The sequence below is a fragment of the Homo sapiens genome, chromosome 7 (genome assembly GCF_000001405.40).
Source record: "Homo sapiens chromosome 7, GRCh38.p14 Primary Assembly".
Classification (NCBI taxonomy): Eukaryota; Metazoa; Chordata; class Mammalia; order Primates; family Hominidae; genus Homo; species Homo sapiens.
In genome coordinates, this window is record NC_000007.14 from 32,295,836 (window position 1) to 32,315,399 (window position 19,564).

The following is a 19,564-nucleotide window of genomic DNA, read 5'->3' on the forward strand; positions in this document are numbered from 1 at the left end:
GTGAGCTGAGATCGGGTCACTGCACTCCAGCCCGGGTGAGAGAGCGAGACTCTGTCTCAAAAAAAAAAAAAAAAAAAAAAAATGTACTTATGATATACTCAAAGATTTAGTTTTTTATCACTGTTTATCATGGTGAAAATTAAAAGCAACCTAAATAGCCAACAATAGGAAGTTGATTTTTTAAATACTTTATATATAGCATGAAACAAAACTAAGGGTTTTTTAAATAACACATTTTTCAAACATTCTGATTTCATTTTGTAAAAACAATGTACATATTAGAAGTACATACAAGAAATATTAATATTTAGCATTGGATGATAAAATGACAGTTGATTTTCTTTCTTCCTTTTTTATTATTGTATTTTCTAAACTTGGCCTAAAATTTCTTAAATGCCTCTCTAGCAACTTACTAATTTCTGCTTTTTAAAATGGTTATGTATGAACATATCACATTGCCCCAAGAATACAAATTCCTTGAACACAGATTCTAAGTCTGATTTATCTTCATAAACTCCCCATGATATTAGCTTAGTGCCTTGAATAATTACAATTACCATTTATTGAATGTTTGCCGTGTGGCAGGCATTGTGCTAAATTGTATCTCTTAGTATAGTAAAATTGAATAAATGTGGAAAGGGGGAGGGAAGAAGAATAAGTAGAAAGAAGTGAATGAATAAATTCTCAGCAATCTGAAATAAGTTGGCAGCTATCTCACTTGGAAGCGACCAGCTCATTTTTAGAGTCTCTTCTGACCACCAGACCATACCAATCTGCTAGACCAACTCTTCTAACAGAAAGGGAAAATGTCAGGAAGAGGAGGACCACACTATGATCCTGGATTTTAGAAAGCCACACTTTGAAGGATAAGATCTCATAAGGACAACCTGGTATAACTTTTGAGAATTTTCTTACCAGAGTCAAGAAAACCAATTTAACATGACAATGATCTATTAATGAAATACTTTTGACTTTGGCAACCTTTAATTCTTTTCTACAAGCACTCCCTTAGCACCCACCAACACCATTTGACAGGGAAAGATACATAAGCAGTCTCATCCTTAAGGAATTTTTAATACAATGAGGACTACCAACAGGTGCCTAAATAACTGATTCAAGGCAGGGTGTGAGCTCCAACGGAGAACTCAGGGACTGGAGGGATTGCCAAGGGAGAAATTCTTTCTGATGGGGATGGAGAGTGGAAGACGTGGAAAGTGAAAGCTGGGATCTAAAGCATAGACAAGATTTCTCAATGCTGTGTTGAGGGAATGGCTTTCCTGCCTGCAGGAACAGCCTAGGCAAAGGCTCAGATGGGTAGGATTTGGTACGTTTGGAGAAGGGCAAGTGTTCAGTCCATGCCCCAGAAACCTTGGGCTACTTTATTGAGAACAAAAGAGGCCCTGAGATGAGCTCCTTTTCTTGGTCTCTTCTTGGCCCTAGTACTTTCCTGATACACATCCAAGCAGACACAGCCCACAAAAAGCAAAATAATCTACCCCCTCATTTTCAAAATCTTTGGGGTTCAGTTCAGATTAAGACCACAGTACTTTTGGAAGTACTTGAGTACTTCCAAAAGTAGGAATCAGAGTGGCTCCTGCCTCTATCCTGCTGTTCTCCAAAGGCTGACGTCCCAAAAAGCAGGCCTCCAGGGCTCCACCTGAGACTTGGGTTCTACTCACCTCCAAGGAAGATGTGGAGGCAATCCCTCACAAGTAGTTTCAAAACAGTCACAGCATGGGGCGGAAGGTAGAAGTATCAAGCACCCACCTCTTCAAATGCTAGGCCTCCAGAGGGTCAACCCTGTGGTCCTGCTGCTCCCTGAAGGTCCCCAAAACCCCCTCTGGTCCCCCTCTTGGTGAAGGGTTTTGGGGGAAAGAAAACAGGAGCCACTGGGAGTCCCAAGGGCAGGAGAGGGAAACACCACCTGCAGCTCAGAGACACCACAGCTTTTTCTCAAATACTTTGGGTAGCATGACATATGATCCCCCCTCCCTGCGGCCTCTCTCTCAGACTGAATTGGCCTCTTTTTCTGCTTTATTTTTCTGAATCTCTCTGTTCTCTTCTCTCTCTTCATGTGTCCCTTTTCCTTTGTTTCAACTTTTATAGAAACTATTGTTCAATCTCTCTCTCTCTCTCTCTCTCTCTCTCTCTCTCTCTCTCTCCTCTCTCTCTCTCTCTCTCCCTCTCTCTCTCTCTCTCTCTCTCTCTCTCTCTCTCTCTCTCTCTCTCCCCTCTCTCTCTGAATTCCCCGGTCTCTGTCTCTCTCAGCCTCTCCTCTCTTGTTTCAGTCACTGTCTCCACGTCTTTGTCACTCTATTAGTCTGTCTTGACGTCCGCCTCTATCTCTGGGGCCTAGGTGTTTCTATCAGTGTCCCCGTGTCTGGATGTTCCTGCCGCTCTGTCTGTGTGTCTCTATCATGTCCACATCTTCCTGTCGCTTTCTGTCTCCCTCTCTCGGCACTATCTTCATCTCTCCATCGCAGCGTCTCCAGCCCTATTTCCACCCCTCCTTTCCCCCGGCCTGCCTTATTAAAATCGCAGCCAGGAAACCGAGCAGTTCGGGGAGGTGTGATGCTGAAAACCAGCTTCCGCGCGACGCCGGGTCGGAGCCCGCGAGGGGTGCCGGGGGGGACAGCCCAGGGTGCGGCTTCTGTCCCGACCCAGTCGCCGCTCCCGGGGGCTCCCGCCCGGAGAGCACCCTCCGGCCCCAGCCCGACCCCTGAGCTCCCCCTGCCCGCTTAGAAAGGAACTCTGACCGCCACCGGAGAGGGCGTTTGCCCGAGCCAGGAGTCCGAGAGGGGTGGAAAGTTCTCACCTATGGTGAAGCTGTAGCCATCGATGCTGAAAGTGGCGCTCCGGCATTTTTTGAAGCCCTCCTTCCTGTTGCCGGCGTCCGTCATGGCTCGGCCGGCCGGGCAGGGGCCTCGCAGCGAGACCAGCGGCGTCTGCGGTCCCCCCCACGGCGGAGTGAGCAGCCCGGGGCTCGGCGGCGAATCCTCCCCCGGCCGCGCCGCGCTGTCACTCTCAGCCCCGCCGCGCGCTGGCAGCTGAGCGCCTGGAGACAACAGCGGGGACCCAATGTCAACAGCTAAAGCGCTAGGAGCTCGGCGGAGGCAGGAGCCGTCGCGACTGCCCCATCTCCAAGCCGAGTTCCAGAGGCGGCGAGAGGAGTGTCAGGAAGGGAGGACGCGCGCCCGAGCGCGTGGACGGGGCTGACCGGTGGGCGCGGAGATCCCTGCCTGGCCACGCTACTCTCTGTCAGCCGCGGATCCCGCGCGCCACAGGAAAGTCTGTTTTCTACTTCACCTTCTCCTTCCGTCTCTGGTGGCTGGGGGGATTTGGGGACCCAAGGGAATGGCTGAATTGGCGTCGTGCGTCTTCTAGATATGTTTTCTCTGGCAGACCGGGGAGCTTCCAGAAAGCACATCAACAGATGGAAAGGCAAACCCCTCAGCCATGAGATGTTGCCGAAGTTTACTCCAAACAAGGAAGTCGGGAAAATCGCCACGCCCACTTCCTTCTAGCCACTGCCCCCAGCACTGGCCTGGAGCCCCGATAGTGTTTCTTCTCCACTGTCCCTGCCAGGAAGGTAATTGTCAAAGTCACCGGAGGCTCTATGATGTGAAATGTACAATCGAATTAGAACTCGCCCCTTACCAACCATTCCAAATAGCTTGTCCTGTCCTTTCGAATTTGGGTTTGCCCAATGTGATAGACTCCTGGAATTTGCTGATGTGGAAGATATCTTACCAATCCCATAGCTGACGCTCTTATTACAGGGGAGGAAACTGAGGCTGCATGGGGCTTGAGAAAAGTGCTACACAAGGAAGTGGCGGACTTTGGAGGCAGAAGTTTCACTTTATGACGATGCCAAGTTAGCCATTGGCCTTTGCAGTGCCTGAAATGACCGAGTTAGGCAAGGCTTACACTGGGAAAATTTTTCCCACCGATCAGCAAGCAATTATTGAGGATTTACAGTTGCAGTGCTATCAGGGGCTGCAGATGCCCACGGGAAAAGAGACCAGAGCTGAGTCACACAGAAGAGTCCACGGTATAACAATGTGGAATGAGGGTTCTGTGCTCAAGCTATTGTGAGACTACAATTAATTTAGCCTCATTTTTGTGATGAAATTTGACACAATTAACGAACACTTGCCAATAATAAGAATCAACCAGGTATATTCTTAATTGATTCCAGTTCAGTTTAGAGGGTAATGGCTCCACATATCTTCAGAATCTAATGAAGATTAGAAACCTTGTCCCAAAAAAAACACACAGACACACATGTACAATATTCTACATACAACTTCAGGGGGCCCATTAAAACCCCCAAGCCTACTGGAACCCAGGTTAATGCATGTCCCAGGAATTTAATCTTTTTCAATTCACCATGTATTTTTAAAGAAATGGAATTGTGTCAGAGTGTATGTAGTTGACACTTCAGTTATAAATTCTCTCAGGAAAGACCTAGAACCACATTCACATGGTCTGGTTAGGTTGGTAGCGAGATTAATTAATCACAAAGGCAACCAACAGTGTCATGAACCTCATGCCACATAGAATGGCATATTTCAGCATGCAGTCAGGGGTGTTTCAAAATCATCATGTAGTCCTTGAGACTGTAATACCCATGCCTGGAACCTGTTACAACCTGGAGGCATGAAAATGGCTCTGCTCACAGATAGACCTGGGTCTGAAAGCTGGCTCCACCACTTACCAGCTACATGGCCTTGACCTCCCTGAGTCTTACTTTCCTCCTCTGACAATAAGGATTAAGTAGGAGTAAGTGCATAAAACCTAGGCACAGTGTATGCTTCCAGTTATTGCAATCACTAGCTGACTCCCAGATCTTACTATGTAGACTGCACGGAAAATTCTTCTCTGTGACAAAAATAACGTATTTTAGTTATTGTTGCCACCATTAATTTTATAGGTGAAGAGAATTTTTATATGTAACATTTTATATATAATATATTACATGTAATATAATGTGGGCTTGGTTTTTTGTTTGTTTGTTTTTGAGACAGTGTTTCACTCTGCTGCCCAGGCTGGAGTGCAGTGGTGCAATCATGGCTCACTGTGGCATCGACCTCTTGGGCTCAAGTGATCTTCCCACTTCAGCCTCCAAAGTAGCAGGGTCTATAGATACACGCCACCACACCTGGCTGCTTTAAAAAAAAAATTGTAGAGGCAAGGTCTCACTATGTTGCCAAGGCTTGTCTCGAACTCCCGAGCTCAAGTCACCCTCTGCCTCCATCTCCCAAAATGTTGGGATTACAGGAATGAGACACATGCCTGACCTTAATATTATGTATTTTTTAATATAGTAACCACCAAAGGTTTCTTATAGTTCCCCTTTCCCTGTATTTCTCCCATCTTCCCAAGCTTTTAAGTGAAGCACATGTCTTTTTTGTGCCAAAATAAGTCCTCAGCTGAGGAACCTGAAAGCCCTGAGTCTCCTGTAGTAAATTATCAAAAAAAAGAAAAAAGAAAAAGTCTATTGCAATGGAAATTTTTCCTTGCGTAAGTGAGTGAAATTAAAACTTGGTATTTAATCATCTTAACAGAAAAGCTTTCTGAAATATAACCTATGAAAATAATAAAAATGCAATCACTTCTCTGTCCCCTAAAGTCTGGTAAAAATAACTTGTCTGAATAATTAGAACTGTTTTTAAACTGCTTCTCCCCAGAATCATTATCTCTCTCCCTGGTTTTAGACACTGTACACCTACAGAACTACTAAAACGCACTGCTTCAAGTGCAAACTCTTAAAGCAGCCTTTTCAGCCTTTGGATTCTCACACCAAACCAAGTGAAGTTGAATGCTAACATTACATAAGTCAAGAAAAAATGAGTTCAAGACTGAGCTCAAAAGAAGCACGGCTTTTGTTTGCTCTTTCAGAATCGCTCACTCAAGAAAGCCTGGGAAGTAAGAAAACTAAACCAAGACAGACAAGCAGATGTGTCAATCATCTGCTTTGGTAGTTGGAGCAGGATTTGACAAATTAATGTCTGCAGATGAAATCTGGCCCATCACCTGTTTTTGTGGCGTCTGCAAGCTAAAAACAGCTTTTATATTTTTAAGTGATTGATAAAGATGAAAAGAAGAATAATATTCTGTGACACATTAAAACTACATGAAACTTGAATTTTAGTATCCACAAGTAAAGTTTCATTGGAACATAGCTATGCTCATTTATTTCCATATTCTTTCTGGCTGCTTTCACACTACAAAGCCATTGTTCAGTAGCTGTGCCTGGGACCATATGGCCTGCAAAGCCAAAAATATTTACTATCTGGCCCTTTACATAAAATGCTTATTGACTCCTAAAATTATAGTAAGCATACTTTACATCTGTCAGGGTTTGGGTAACTTCTAGTTTTATTATATTTACTTTAACATTTGGGTTTGGAAAGAAATTTATCTTTTTTAACTACTGGAATGGATTCTAACAAGGAAGGACTCAGAGTGCATTCTAACAAACAAGGGAAACAAGGAGGGAAGAAGATCCCTAATAATTGTTTGATCCAGTCAATAGCTAAGACTAATTAGGTTAAGATTAATTTCTTCCAAGAAGTAATGTGTGATCCTGACTTCACTGCAAGGAAGTAGAGGAGGAGCTGAACTCATTACCTACATCAGTTCATAGGATTAAATAATGTCCTTCAAATATAACAACAGTATATGACACAATATAAAAAAGAATCTGGCAGGATGCTCCTCTGACTCTAGTGCTAATATCAAGTCTTTTGATTTGCTCTGTGGATCTGATGGTGGATTCTACTACATGTCTCTATATAAGAGAAAGGATATTAATGGCAAGTTCTTGTTGCTCATTGGTTTTTCACTTTTAAAGTTCTAGAAAAATATAAGACAACATATATAGAATGTATCAAAAAGTATAGTTTCTAAGAAAACATCTTTTTATTTTTCATGCTAGAGAGAAGACAGCTCCTCAACATCTCACTAATGCATTTCAACCATTCTCAGGTAGGAAGCTACCTACTATTTGGATTCTCCCAACAGCCAATAGTCCAAGAATTGTAGGCCCAAGTTGCCCCAATAAGAGCATCGTGCACACACCTCATGGACACCTATCCAGCTGTCTAACAACCATTCCAAATTCTAGAAAGGGCCTCTTCCCATTCATATAATCATTGGCTGCAGGCAATGAAGTTTCTGAACTGCAACCTTGCTCCTTTGGCTGTAATTGATAGAACCCAAACTGGGCTAATGAATACCATTTCTGGGAATAGGAATTGTGAGAGGTAAAGAAAAAGTCCCAGTTCATTCCAGGTCCAGTTCCAGCTGGTATCTGAAAATCAGCTCCTCCCAAATTCCATAAGATACCCTACTACCCTTATACTATACAGTAGTCCCTTTTGTGAGTGATCCAATGTGAGTTGCTATTGCTTGAAACCAAGAGTTCTAGCTAATCTACCAAACAGACTCCCTTCAAGAAGGGAAGCAGAGGACGAAGAAATGAAGAGAGAAAAGAAGGAATTAAACTAACATTTACTGAGTGCCAACTATATACTAGGCATTGTGCTAACCAAGAAACAGTCCCTGCCTTTTAGAATTTTTACAGGAAGAGTAAGTCTTAGAACAGTCCCTGGAACTGGGTGTCAGAATGAGAAAACAGTCACAGAAAGTCTGTGTTTCTGGATGCAGTTCCTCTTCAGCTGTCACCAGTACCCTCCTCTGTTTCATTTTACTTCTACCTTATTGCTTCCCTATAGTCCATTTTTTTGTTTCTCAAATAAATTAGACCCAGGAATGGCAGAGATAATCTAATTAAACGGGGAAGATAAAAAGTGTGTGCTTACATACTTGAGGGCCCAAAAAAGGTGCCAAAAACGTACCCAGAAGGCCCTGATGGAGGTTACCAAATTCTATTTCCACAAAGGGGCAATTTTTTTCTTTGGCTCCCTGTTCATTCAACTTTTTTTGAGTTTACATATTATTCATGCATCTGTGAAAGTGACTATCCTTAAGTACCTGCCTTTAGTGTCTCAGAAAATAATAGCTAAGGGCCCCCAAAGATCTCCCCATAACATAATGTAGCAAATTACAGTAAATTAAATTCTTGTTTTGCATTAAGAGTTTGGGGAGAATTTTATCATAGCCTTTGAAGTTAGGAGTTATAAGTGGAAACTTTCTGCAGTGGGGGTGAGGGAGACCAGAACAACTATTTTTAATTTCTTTTTCTTAATCCAGACTACCAAGCCTGGAATTGTCTTTCCCCTCAGCCAACCAGGTTTGCCTAGAGACCTCCCTCCTCACCATTCAGGTATCTGCTAATCTCCCGGGTCCTCCAGAAAGCATTTTCTGCCTGACATTCCTCAGGGGAGGTAACCACCCGACTTGAAGCCTCCCCTGGATCCCATTCTGTGTCCCCATCATAAAATCATCACACTGCACTCATACTGCCTGTTTGCCTGCCCATCTCCTCATGAGGATATGGTCTGCGGGTAGCAGAGATGGGTCTTCCATCCTCGGCCCTGGCACAGAGTAAGCCTTCGCTAAAACATTTATGAATTAAAAAGTAAACAAAGATGTATAATGCAAGGCTGTGTGGCCAGGAGATGATGGGATTGGGGTAGGACAGCCAGCCCCATTAGCCATTCCCTCTCTCCACTCATCCTCTGTCTTTCTCTGTGATGAGCTTTAGAGCAAGTTCAAAACATGGCTCCATAGCAAATAGGTTAATAACTTTTAAAATTAATAAAATGAAACAAAAAGCTCCTCTTTTTGTTTCCTCAAAACACGGCTCCACGGCAAATAGGTTAATAACTTTTAAAATTAATAAAATGAAACAAAAAGCTCCTCTACTTGCTAGCTGTGTGATCTTAGAAAAATGACTTAGCCTCTCTGAGTCTTAGTTTTTTCTTTTGTAAAATGGACATAAAATACCTATCTCATAAGAAATGTGTGAGTTATAATAATGTATGTAAAAGACTTACCCTGGACTCAACCCATAGTAAACATTCAATTTTACTTATTATTATTATGTCATATATATTATTATAACATGACAATGTTATTATTTTTAACATCGTCGTCATCACTAGCATACTAGGTCCCTTTTGCGCTTCTGTTTTCTACAGAGTGCTTAAGTTAATCCATAATCAGGGGCAAGAGGAACAGGGTTAGAGCTCACTCAACCCTGGGCCTAAGGCCCAAAAGTATCACCCTGTGAGCAATGAGACCGGACGTTCTAGGTCTCCATCACTCAGGTGAGCTGCAGAAACTCATGGGCTTTCTGAGAGCTAGAGTCTGGGGCTTGCACAGCGCCTGCTCAATCACTCTTCCATTCATAAGACCCAGCCTCCATCACCCTCCCCATTCCATGATACTTCTGTCAGCTATGCTTCACTTCATTCAGCAGATGCATTGTGGTCCTCATAATGCATATTGTCTTGTGAACCTGCTGCATCAGCTAGGATGTCTTCTGTTCCCTGGGCATCCAGGGCACAGCTTCCTCCTGGTTTTCCTGCTACCTCTGCAGCCAATGCCTTTTCTGTTGTTGTTAACCAGGGAAACTTACCTTCTCATTCCATTCCCTCTTTCCTGAGCAATCCTCTTTGCTCTTCCCAGCTCTGTTAATGACTCTAAAATATTTATTTCTAGCCCAGATCACTAAGCAACAAGTATAGTGATCTTTTTTTCTTCAGTAGGTCTTACAGTCACCTTGGCCTTGACTCATCCAAATCTGAAATCTTCCTCTTCCTATCCTTCCTCCAGAGTTTCCCTTGGGGTGTTAGGGGAGCCAGACAAAGCTTCTACACACTTGTCAAGCCAGGCTAGCCTTTACCACCCTCTTTCCAGCTGTCCCTGTAGAAGGAGCATTTCTCATCTGACTCGTTAGAGTTTCAGGCATTCCTTGGGCCCAACTCACTAGGGCAAGAGTCTCTCCTGGGCAGAGCCCATATGGCACCTCTGTGAGAGTTAGGAAAGGGTACCCTTCTCCAAGGTGGAAGCAGCCCCATGCCAGGACAAACAGAGCTCAGTGAGCAGGGCCTGGGCTGAATGCTGCTCCCGCTCAGTCCCTCGGTCAGGCATTTATATGATTTGGCTATGTCTCCACCCAAATCTCATCTTGAATTGTAGCTCCTATGATTCCCACGTGTTGTGGAAGGAACCTGGTGGGAGATAATTGAATCATAGGGGCGGTTTCCCCCACACTGTTCTCATGGTAGTGAATAAGTCTCACGAGATCTGATGGTTTTAGAAAGGGAAACCCCTTTCACTTGATCCTTCATTCTCTCTTGTCTGCCACCATGTAAGACGTGCCTTTCACCTTCCACCGTGGTTGTGAGGCCTCCCCAGCCATGTGGAAATGTGTGTCCGTTAAACCTCTTTTTCTTTATAAATTACTCAGTCTTGGGTATGTCTTTATCAGCAGCATGAAAACGGGCTAATACCGTAAATTGGGTTCCTGGTCATAATACTTCCAGAATATTATCAAAGCCTCACTCTTCCAATCCAATAGTGCCATCTCTGGAAATGGTCCTCCCTACTGCTCCACAACCAAATTGGGGAGCCTGTGAGTCATTACTCTTCCCTCTGTCTTTTTCATCTAAACAGTCACTAAGTCCACACAGAAATGTTCCCTCAATATATCTGGCATCTGTCTGGTCCTATCCACACACGACCCCACCTTAGTCCAGGCTCCCACTGTCTCTCACATGAATTATCACAACAGCCTCTCACCTCCACAGCCAGCTTGCATTCTTGCTCCAAGCCATTGTCTATCCAGGAGCCAAAGAGATCTTTTTAAATAAAAATGTAGTCATGTCTTTCCTTTGCCTAAAATACTTCAGTGACTCCCTGTCGCTGTAGAAAAATTGATACTTAGAATAAAGTAAAAACCCCTTACCTTGGCTCATCAGGCCCTACAGAATCTTGGGGGAAACTGGGGAACATAGGGAAGTTTGGACCTTCTCCTGTAAGGAGTGGGAAGCATAAAACACATACAAGAGGACTTAGGAAGTATCAGAAAGGGAGTGGGGAAGTTAGTCAGAGAAGGGAAAGCAACCAATAAAGCTACCTGTGAGCACCTGGGGCTTAATCCTCTAAGAAACATCAGGAGCCAGTGTCAAATTGCCATTAGAAATGCATCTGGTTTCCCAATCTGATTCCGGACTCTCTCAAGGGTTTGGCTTTGACATGCTCTATCAACTCTTCTCACCTCTGACTTCCTGGAGAGGATTCAGACCTTCTGTGCTTCCCAGGATCAAGAAAAACAGCACTTAGTCATTTATTGTACACCTACTATGTGCAGATAGTTTGCATCTGTAACAAATATCCAAATTCTCAGTGACCTAACACCACAATAAAGATTTTTTTTTTCTTGCTCATTACGAAGCCCAATATAGGTTGTGGGGAGCAGGATGTGGAGTTTTGGCCTATGGAGTTATTCAGGGACTAAGCTGGCTCTCATCTCATAGCTTCATCAGCACCTAGACCCTCAGAATCCTTCTCTGTATCCTCTGCATCTAGCTGGCCAGGGGAGGAAGAGAAAAAAGGTGGAAGACTGTGAAGAATTTCAGAAACCAGGCATGGAATAAACACACATCCCTTCCTCCCACATTCTGTTAGCCAGAAATTAGTCATATGGCCCCACTAAACTGCAAGGGGTGGGTGACATCTGGGAAATGAAGTTAGGAAAGAAAAGAAGGTTTGGTAAACACAGATACTTTGAAACCCTATCCTCTCCACTGTTTTCACTCAATCTGACCACCAACTTACTAGATGGAGACATGGTTAAACCCTGCTGCATGCCCAGGACTGAGGTCATGATCTGTCGCCACATCAGAGTTGGAACCTTTCTACCTTATTAAGCCCAGGTTCACACGATCAAAGCACCTGAGCCTACCACTGTGATGTAAATTTTATAAAGCGGGCCCGAGGTGGAGCCAAGATGGCCGAATAGGAACAGCTCCAGTCTACAACTCCCAGCATAAGCGACACAGAAGACGGGTGATTTCTGCATTCCATCTGAGGTACCGGGTTCATCTCACTAGGGAGTGCCAGATAGTGGGTGCAGGACAGTGGGTGCAGCGCACTGTGCGTGAGCCGAAGCAGGGCGAGGCATTGTCTCACTTGGGAAGTGCAAGGGGTCGGGGAGTTCCCTTTCCTAGTCAAAGAATGGGGTGACAGATGGCACCTGGAAAATCCGGTCACTCCCACCCTAATACTGCACTTTTCCAATGGGCTTAAAAGATGGCACACCAGGAGATTATATCCCGCACATGGCTCAGAGGGTCCAACGCCCACGGAGTCTCGCTGATTGCTAGCACAGCAACAGTCTGAGATCAAACTGCAAGGTGGCAGCAAGGCTGGGGGAGGGGCGCCTGCCATTGCCCAGGCTTGATTAGGTAAACAAAGCAGCCGGGAAGCTCAAACTGGGTGGAGCCCACCACAGCTCAAGGAGGCCTGCCTGCCTCTGTAGGCTCCACCTCTGGGGGCAGGGCACAGACAAACAAAAAGACAGCAGTAACCTCTGCAGACTTAAATGTCCCTGTCTGACAGCTTTGAAGAGAGTAGTGGTTCTCCCAGCACGCAGCTGGAGATCTGAGAACGGGCAGACAGCCTCCTCAAGTGGGTCCTTGACCCCTGAGCAGCCTAACTGGGAGGCACCCCCCAGTAGTGGCAGACTGACACCTCACACGGCTGGGTACTCCTCTGAGACAAAACTTCCAGAGGAACAATCAGGCAGCAGCATTTGCGGTTCACCAAGATCCGCTGTTCTACAGCCACTGCTGTTCTGCAGCCACCGCTGCTGATACCCAGGCAAACAGGGTCTGGAGTGGACCCCTAGCAAACTCCAACAGACCTGCAGCTGAGGGTCCTGTCTGTTAGAAGGAAAACTAACAAACAGAAAGGACATCCACATCAAAAACCCTTCTGTACGTCACCATCATCAAAGACCAAAAGTAGGTAAAACCACAAAGATGGGGAAAAAACAGAGCAGAAAAACTGGAAACTCTAAAAAGCAGAGTGCCTCTCCTCCTCCAAAGGAACACAGTTCCTCACCAGCAACTGAACAAACCTGGACGGAGAATGACTTTGACGAGTTGAGAGAAGAAGGCTTCAGATGATCAAACTACTCCGAGCTACAGGAGGAAACTCAAACCAATGGCAAAGAAGTTAAAAACTGTGAAAAAAAATTAGATGAATGGATAACTAGAATAACCAATGCAGAGAAGTCCTTAAAGGAGCTGATGGAGCTGAAAGCCAAGGCTCAAGAACTATGTGAAGAATGCAGAAGCCTCAGGAGCCAATGCAATCAACTGGAAGAAAGGATATCAGTGATGGAAGACGAAATGAATGAAATGAAGCAAGAAGGGAAGTTTAGAGAAAAAAGAATAAAAAGAAACAAACAAAGCCTCCAAGAAATATGGGACTATGTGAAAAGACTAAACCTACGTCTGATTGGTGTACCTGAAAGTGACAGAGAGAATGGAACCAAGTTGGAAAACACTCTGCAGGATATTATCCAGGAGAACTTCCCCAGTCCAGCAAGGCAGGCCAACATTCAGACTCAGGAAATACAGAGAAAGCCACAAAGATACTCCTCAAGAAGAGCAACTCCAAGACACATAATTGTCAGATTCACCAAAGTTGAAATGAAGGAAAAAATGTTAAGGGCAGCCAGAGAGAAAGGTCGGGTTACCCTCAAAGGGAAGCCCATCAGACTAACAGTGGATCTCTCAGCAGAAACTCTACAAGCCAGAAGGGAGTGGGGGCCAATATTCAACATTCTTATAGAAAAGAATTTCCAACCCAGAATTTCATATCCAGCCAAACTAAGCTTCATAAGTGAAGGAGAAATAAAATACTTTACAGACAAGCAAATGCTGAGAGATTTTGTCACCACCAGGCCTGCCCTAAAAGAGCTCCTGAAGGAAGCACTAAACATGGAAAGGAAAAACTGGTACCAACCACTGAAAAAACATGCCAAAATGTAAAGACCATCAAGGCTAGGAAGAAACTGGATCAACTAACAAGCAAAATAACCAGCTAACATCATAATGACAGGACCAAATACACACATAACAATGTTAACTTTAAATGTAAATGGACTAAATGCTCCAATTTAAAAGATACAGACTGGCAAATTGGATAAAGAGTTAAGACCCATCAGTGTGCTGTATTCAGGAAACCCATGTCATGTGCAGAGACACACATAGGCTCAAAATAAAAGGATGGAGGAAGATCTACCAAGCAAATGGAAAACAAAAAAAGGCAGGGGTTGCAATCCTAGTCTCTGATAAAACAGACTTCAAACCAACAAAGATCAAAAGAGACAAAGAAGGCCATTACATAATGGTAAAGGGATCAATTCAACAAGAAGAGCTAACTATCCTAAATATATATGCACCCAATACAGGAGCACCCAGATTCATAAAGCAAGTCCTGAGTGACCTACAAAGAGACTTAGACTCCCACACATTAATAATGGGAGACTTTAACACCCCACTGTCAACATTAGACCGATCAATGAGACAGAAAGTTAGCAAGGATACCCAAGAAATGACCTCAGCTCTGCCACCAAGCAGACCTGGTAGACATCTACAGAACTCTCTACCCCAAATCAACAGAATATACATTTTTTTCAGCACTACACCACATCTATTCCAAAATTGACCACATACTTGGAAGTAAAGCTCTCCTCAGCAAATGTAAAAGAACAGAAATTATAACAAACTGTCTCTCAGACCACAGTGCAATCAAACTAGAACTGAGGACTAAGAAACTCACTCAAAACTGCTCAACTACATGGAAACTGAACAACCTGCTCCTGAATGACTACTGGGTACATAATGAAATGAAGGCAGAAATAAAGATGTTCTTTGAAACCAACGAGAACAAAGACACAACATACCAGAATCTCTGGGACGCATTCAAAGCAGTGTGTAGAGGGAAATTTATAGCACTAAATGCCCACAAGAGAAAGCAGGAAAGATCCAAAATTGACACCCTAACATCACAATTAAAAGAACTAGAAAAGCAAGAGCAAACATATTCAAAAGCTAGCAGAAGGCAAGAAATAACTAAAATTAGAGCAGAACTGAAGGAAATAGAGACACAAAAAACCCTTCAAAAAATTAATGAATCCAGGAGCTGCTTTTTTGAAAAGATCAACAAAATTGATAGACCGCTAGCAAGATTAATAAAGAAGAAAAGAGAGAAGAATCAAATAGACGCAATAAAAAATGATAAAGAAGATATCACCACCGATCCCACAGAAATACAAACTACCATCAGAGAATACTACAAACACCTCTATGCAAATAAACTAGAAAATCTAGAAGAAATGGATAAATTCCTCAACACATACACCCTCCCAAGACTAAACCAGGAAGAAGTTGAATCTCTGAATAGATGAATAACAGGCTCTGAAATTGTGGCAATAATCAATAGCTTACCAACCAAAAAAAAGTCCAGGACCAGACGGATTCACAGCCGAATTCTACCAGAGGTACAAGGAGGAGCTGGTACCATTCCTTCTGAAACTATTCCAATCAACAGAAAACGAGGGAATCCTCCCTAACTAATTTTCTGAGGCCAGCATCATCCTGATACCAAAGCCAGGTAGAGACACAACCAAAAAAGAGAATTTTAGACCAATATCCTTGATGAACATTGATGCAAAAATCCTCAATAAAACACTGGCAAACCAAATCCAGCAGCACATCAAAAAGCTTATCCACCATGATCAAGTGGGCTTCATCCCTGGGATGCAAGGCTGGTTCAATATACGCAAATCAATAAATGTAATCCAGCATATAAACAGAACCAAAGATAAAAACCACATGATTATCTCAATAGATGCAGAAAAGGCCTTTGACAAAATTCAACAACCCTTCATGCTAAAAACTCTCAATAAATTAGGTATTGATGGGACGTATCTCAAAATAATAAGAGCTATCTATGATAAACCCACAGCCAATATCATACTGAATGGGCAAAAACTGGAAGCATTCCCTTTTAAAACTGGCACAAGACAGGCATGCCCTCTCTCGCCACTCCTATTCAACATAGTGTTGGAAGTTCTGGCCAGGGCAATTAGGCAGGAGAAGGAAATAAAGGGTATTCAATTAGGAAAAGAGGAAGTCAAATTGTCCCTGTTTGCAGATGACATGATTGTATATCTAGAAAACCCCATTATCTCAGCCCAAAATCTCCTTAAGCTGATAAGCAACTTCAGCAAAGTCTCAGGATACAAAATCAATGTACAAAAATCACAAGCATTCTTATACACCAATAACAGACAAACAGAGAGCCAAATCATGAGTGAACTCCCATTTACAATTGCTTCAAAGAGAATAAAATACCTAGCAATCCAACTTACAAGGGATGTGAAAGACCTCTTCAACAAGAACTACAAACCACTGCTCAAGGAAATAAAAGAGGATACAAACAAATGGAAGAACATTCCATGCTCATGGGTAGGAAGAATCAATATCGTGAAAATGGCCATACTGCCCAAGGTAATTTATAGATTCAATGCCATCCCCATCAAGCTACCAATGACTTTCTTCACAGAATTGGAAAAAACTACTTTAAAGTTCATATGGAACCAAAAAAGAGCCCGCATCGCCAAGTCAATCCTAAACCAAAAGAACAAAGCCAGAGGCATCACGCTACCTGACTTCAAACTATACTACAAGGCTACAGTAACCAAAACAGCATGGTACTGGTACCAAAACAGAGATATAGATCAATGGAACAGAACAGAGCCCTCAAAAAATGATGCATATCTACAACCATCTGGTCTTTGACAAACCTGACAAAAACAAGAAATGGGGAAAGGATTCCCTATTTAATAAATGGTGCTGGGAAAACTGGCTAGCCATGTGTAGAAAGCTGAAACTTGATCCCTTCCTTACACCTTACACAAAAATTAATTCAAAATGGATTAAAGACTTACATGTTAGACCTAAAACCATAAAAACCCTAGAAGAAAACCTAGGCAATACCATTCAGGACATAGGCATAGGCAAGGACTTCATGTCTAAAACACCAAAAGCAATGGCAACAAAAGCCAAAATTGACAAATGGGATCTAATTAAACTAAAGAGCTTCTGCACAGTAAAAGAAACTTCTATCAGGTGAACAGGCAACCTACAAAATGGGAGAAAATTTTCCCAACCTACTCATCTGACAAAGGGCTAATATCCAGAATCTACAATGAACTCAAACAAATTTACAAGAAAAAAACAAACAACCCCATCAAAAAGTGGGCGAAGGATATGAATAGACACTCCTCAAAAGAAGACATTTATGCAGCCAAAAAACACATGAAAAAATGCTCATCTTCACTGGCCATCAGAGAAATGCAAATCAAAACCACAATGAGATACCATCTCACACCAATTAGAATTGCGATCATTAAAAAGTCAGGAAACAACAGGTGCTGGAGAGGATGTGGAGAAATAGGAACACTTTTACACTGTTGGTGGGACTGTAAACTAGTTCAACCATGTGGAAGTCAGTGTGGCAATTCCTCAGGGATCTAGAACTAGAAATACCATTTGACTCAGCCATCCCATTACTGGGTATATACCCAAAGGATTATAAATCATGCTGCTATAAAGACACATGCACACGTATGTTTATTGCAGCACTATTCACAATAGCAAAGACTTGGAACCAACCCAAATGTCCAACAACGATAGACTGGATTAAGAAAATATGGCACATATACACCATGGAATACTATGCAGCCATAAAAAAGGATGAGTTCATGTCCTTTGTGGGGACACGGATGAAACTGGAAACCATCATTCTCAGCAAACTATCGCAAGGACAAAAAACCAAACACCGCATGTTCTCACTCATAGGTGGGAATTGAACCATGAGAACACATGGACACAGGAAGGGGAACATCACACTCTGGGGACTGTCATGAGGTGGGGGGGAGGGGGGAGGGGTAGCATTAGGAGATATACCTAATGCTAAATGATGAGTTAATGGGTGCAGCACACCAACATGGCACATGTATATGTATGTAACAAACCTGAACATTGTGCACATGTACCCTAAAACTTAAAGTATAATAATAATAAAATAAAATAAAATAAAAGATGCTAGGTACCCAAATGTGAAACCAAAAACATTCCTAAGTAGCTGCTATTTTGTATCCTCAGTGTTTTTGTCTTTGATGTAGAATTAGTTACTACTAAGCCAATAAAAGTAAATGAGAAATGAAAAAAATAAATAAATAAATAAAATAAATAAAGTGGGCCCACTTTCCCCAGAAAGGCTCTTTTTATGTGGCTTATTGTTGTTATCACTTACAGAAGGTTTAAATATATCAACAATTTTAATACTATATTACAGCTCTGGCATTAGAAAGCAAGACAAAAATATAATTTACTGAGGAGGTGAAAATTGCATTATCTTGTAACATGATTTTTTTTCTTTCACTAACTAGAAAACATAAATACTGTACCCAGAAATACAAAAATTCTAGTTCATTAAGAGACAAAGGGAATAGCAGAGAAAAATTTGGTCACTAATATTTAGCAGGCCAGCAAACTTTGTCACATCAAAGACTCCTGATGAGGATTTGGGGAACATGCAATTAAAACAAATACAGAGCATCCCAGGTTACCACTTGCACAGCGATAAGTCCCAGATGGATAACTGGTTACAGGTAGAGCTGGCATGGACTTGCACTCACACATGAGGAAGGGAATGTGGTTTCTTAGGGGATCCAGCCTTAGTCAGGCCATCATGGGTTAAGCTCTGTGCTTAGTATTCATGCATCTCATTTCAAGCCCTCAGTAACAAAGAATGGAATTATAGAGTTAGGTTTTCTTACTGTGGTTCTTAAATCCCTGGAGAAGGTAACTCTTCTCAGTGGCATCCTTGGCAACAGAATTACCGAGAGCACCAAGAACGCTGAAACCAGAAAGAATAGACAGGCAGCCCAAAAGGGAACACAGACCTACAGAGTAGATCCAGCTATTTGCTGAAATGACCTATAATAGAGACATGCTCCTCCATCTGTTGTTCACTGGTGGCTAAATTCATCTAGAACTTTTTTCCAGCTTATTCACCTCAAATTGGACAATAAATATGTTCCTTATCACCAGCAAACATGCATCGCCACAGATACAGCTACACACACAGACACATACACAGACATTCACACACACACCCCACTTTTATATCTCGGATGTGGCTTCTGACAATGATGACAATGATAAGGATGCTGGAGTTCTGAAGAAAATGTCACAGAACAAAATGTTAAGGAAAAAGAGCAAACACAAAGTAGGATGCAATAGAGTCTCAACTATGTCAAAAAGAAAATACACTAAAGAAAGACAGGAAGGTGAGCAAGAACAGCCCAGTGAGTGACAGAATAGCCAAGGACAAAAAGTTTAAATCAGATGTTGCAAACTGGCTTCCCTGGGATCAAATGCAGCCCAGGGATGTGGCTTTTTGTTTTGGGGTGATTTTTGCCTGCTTGGTGCTTAAAAAATATTTAAATTGTGAATTAAAAAGAAATTGCAAATTGAAAGGAAGGAAGGTAGAGAGGAAAGGAGGA

At 42.7% G+C, this 19,564-nt stretch overlaps 1 protein-coding gene across 3 annotated transcripts in view; it reads right to left on the reverse strand.

Annotated features, from left to right (window-relative positions):
• The window catches only part of PDE1C (phosphodiesterase 1C), an 811,448-nt gene that overhangs the window by 679,059 nt on the left and 112,825 nt on the right, over positions 1–19,564 (reverse strand). For 2 of the 3 annotated variants that reach the window (NM_001191058.4, NM_001322058.2), the window contains exon 1: positions 2,816–3,493. The exons of the other annotated variant lie outside the window; for it this stretch is intronic. In NM_001191058.4, the coding sequence (NP_001177987.2) occupies positions 2,816–2,900 (85 nt within the window). In that variant the 5' untranslated portion in view covers positions 2,901–3,493. Of the gene's footprint in view, positions 1–2,815; positions 3,494–19,564 lie in introns of those variants that run through there. 3 annotated transcript variants of the gene reach the window in all.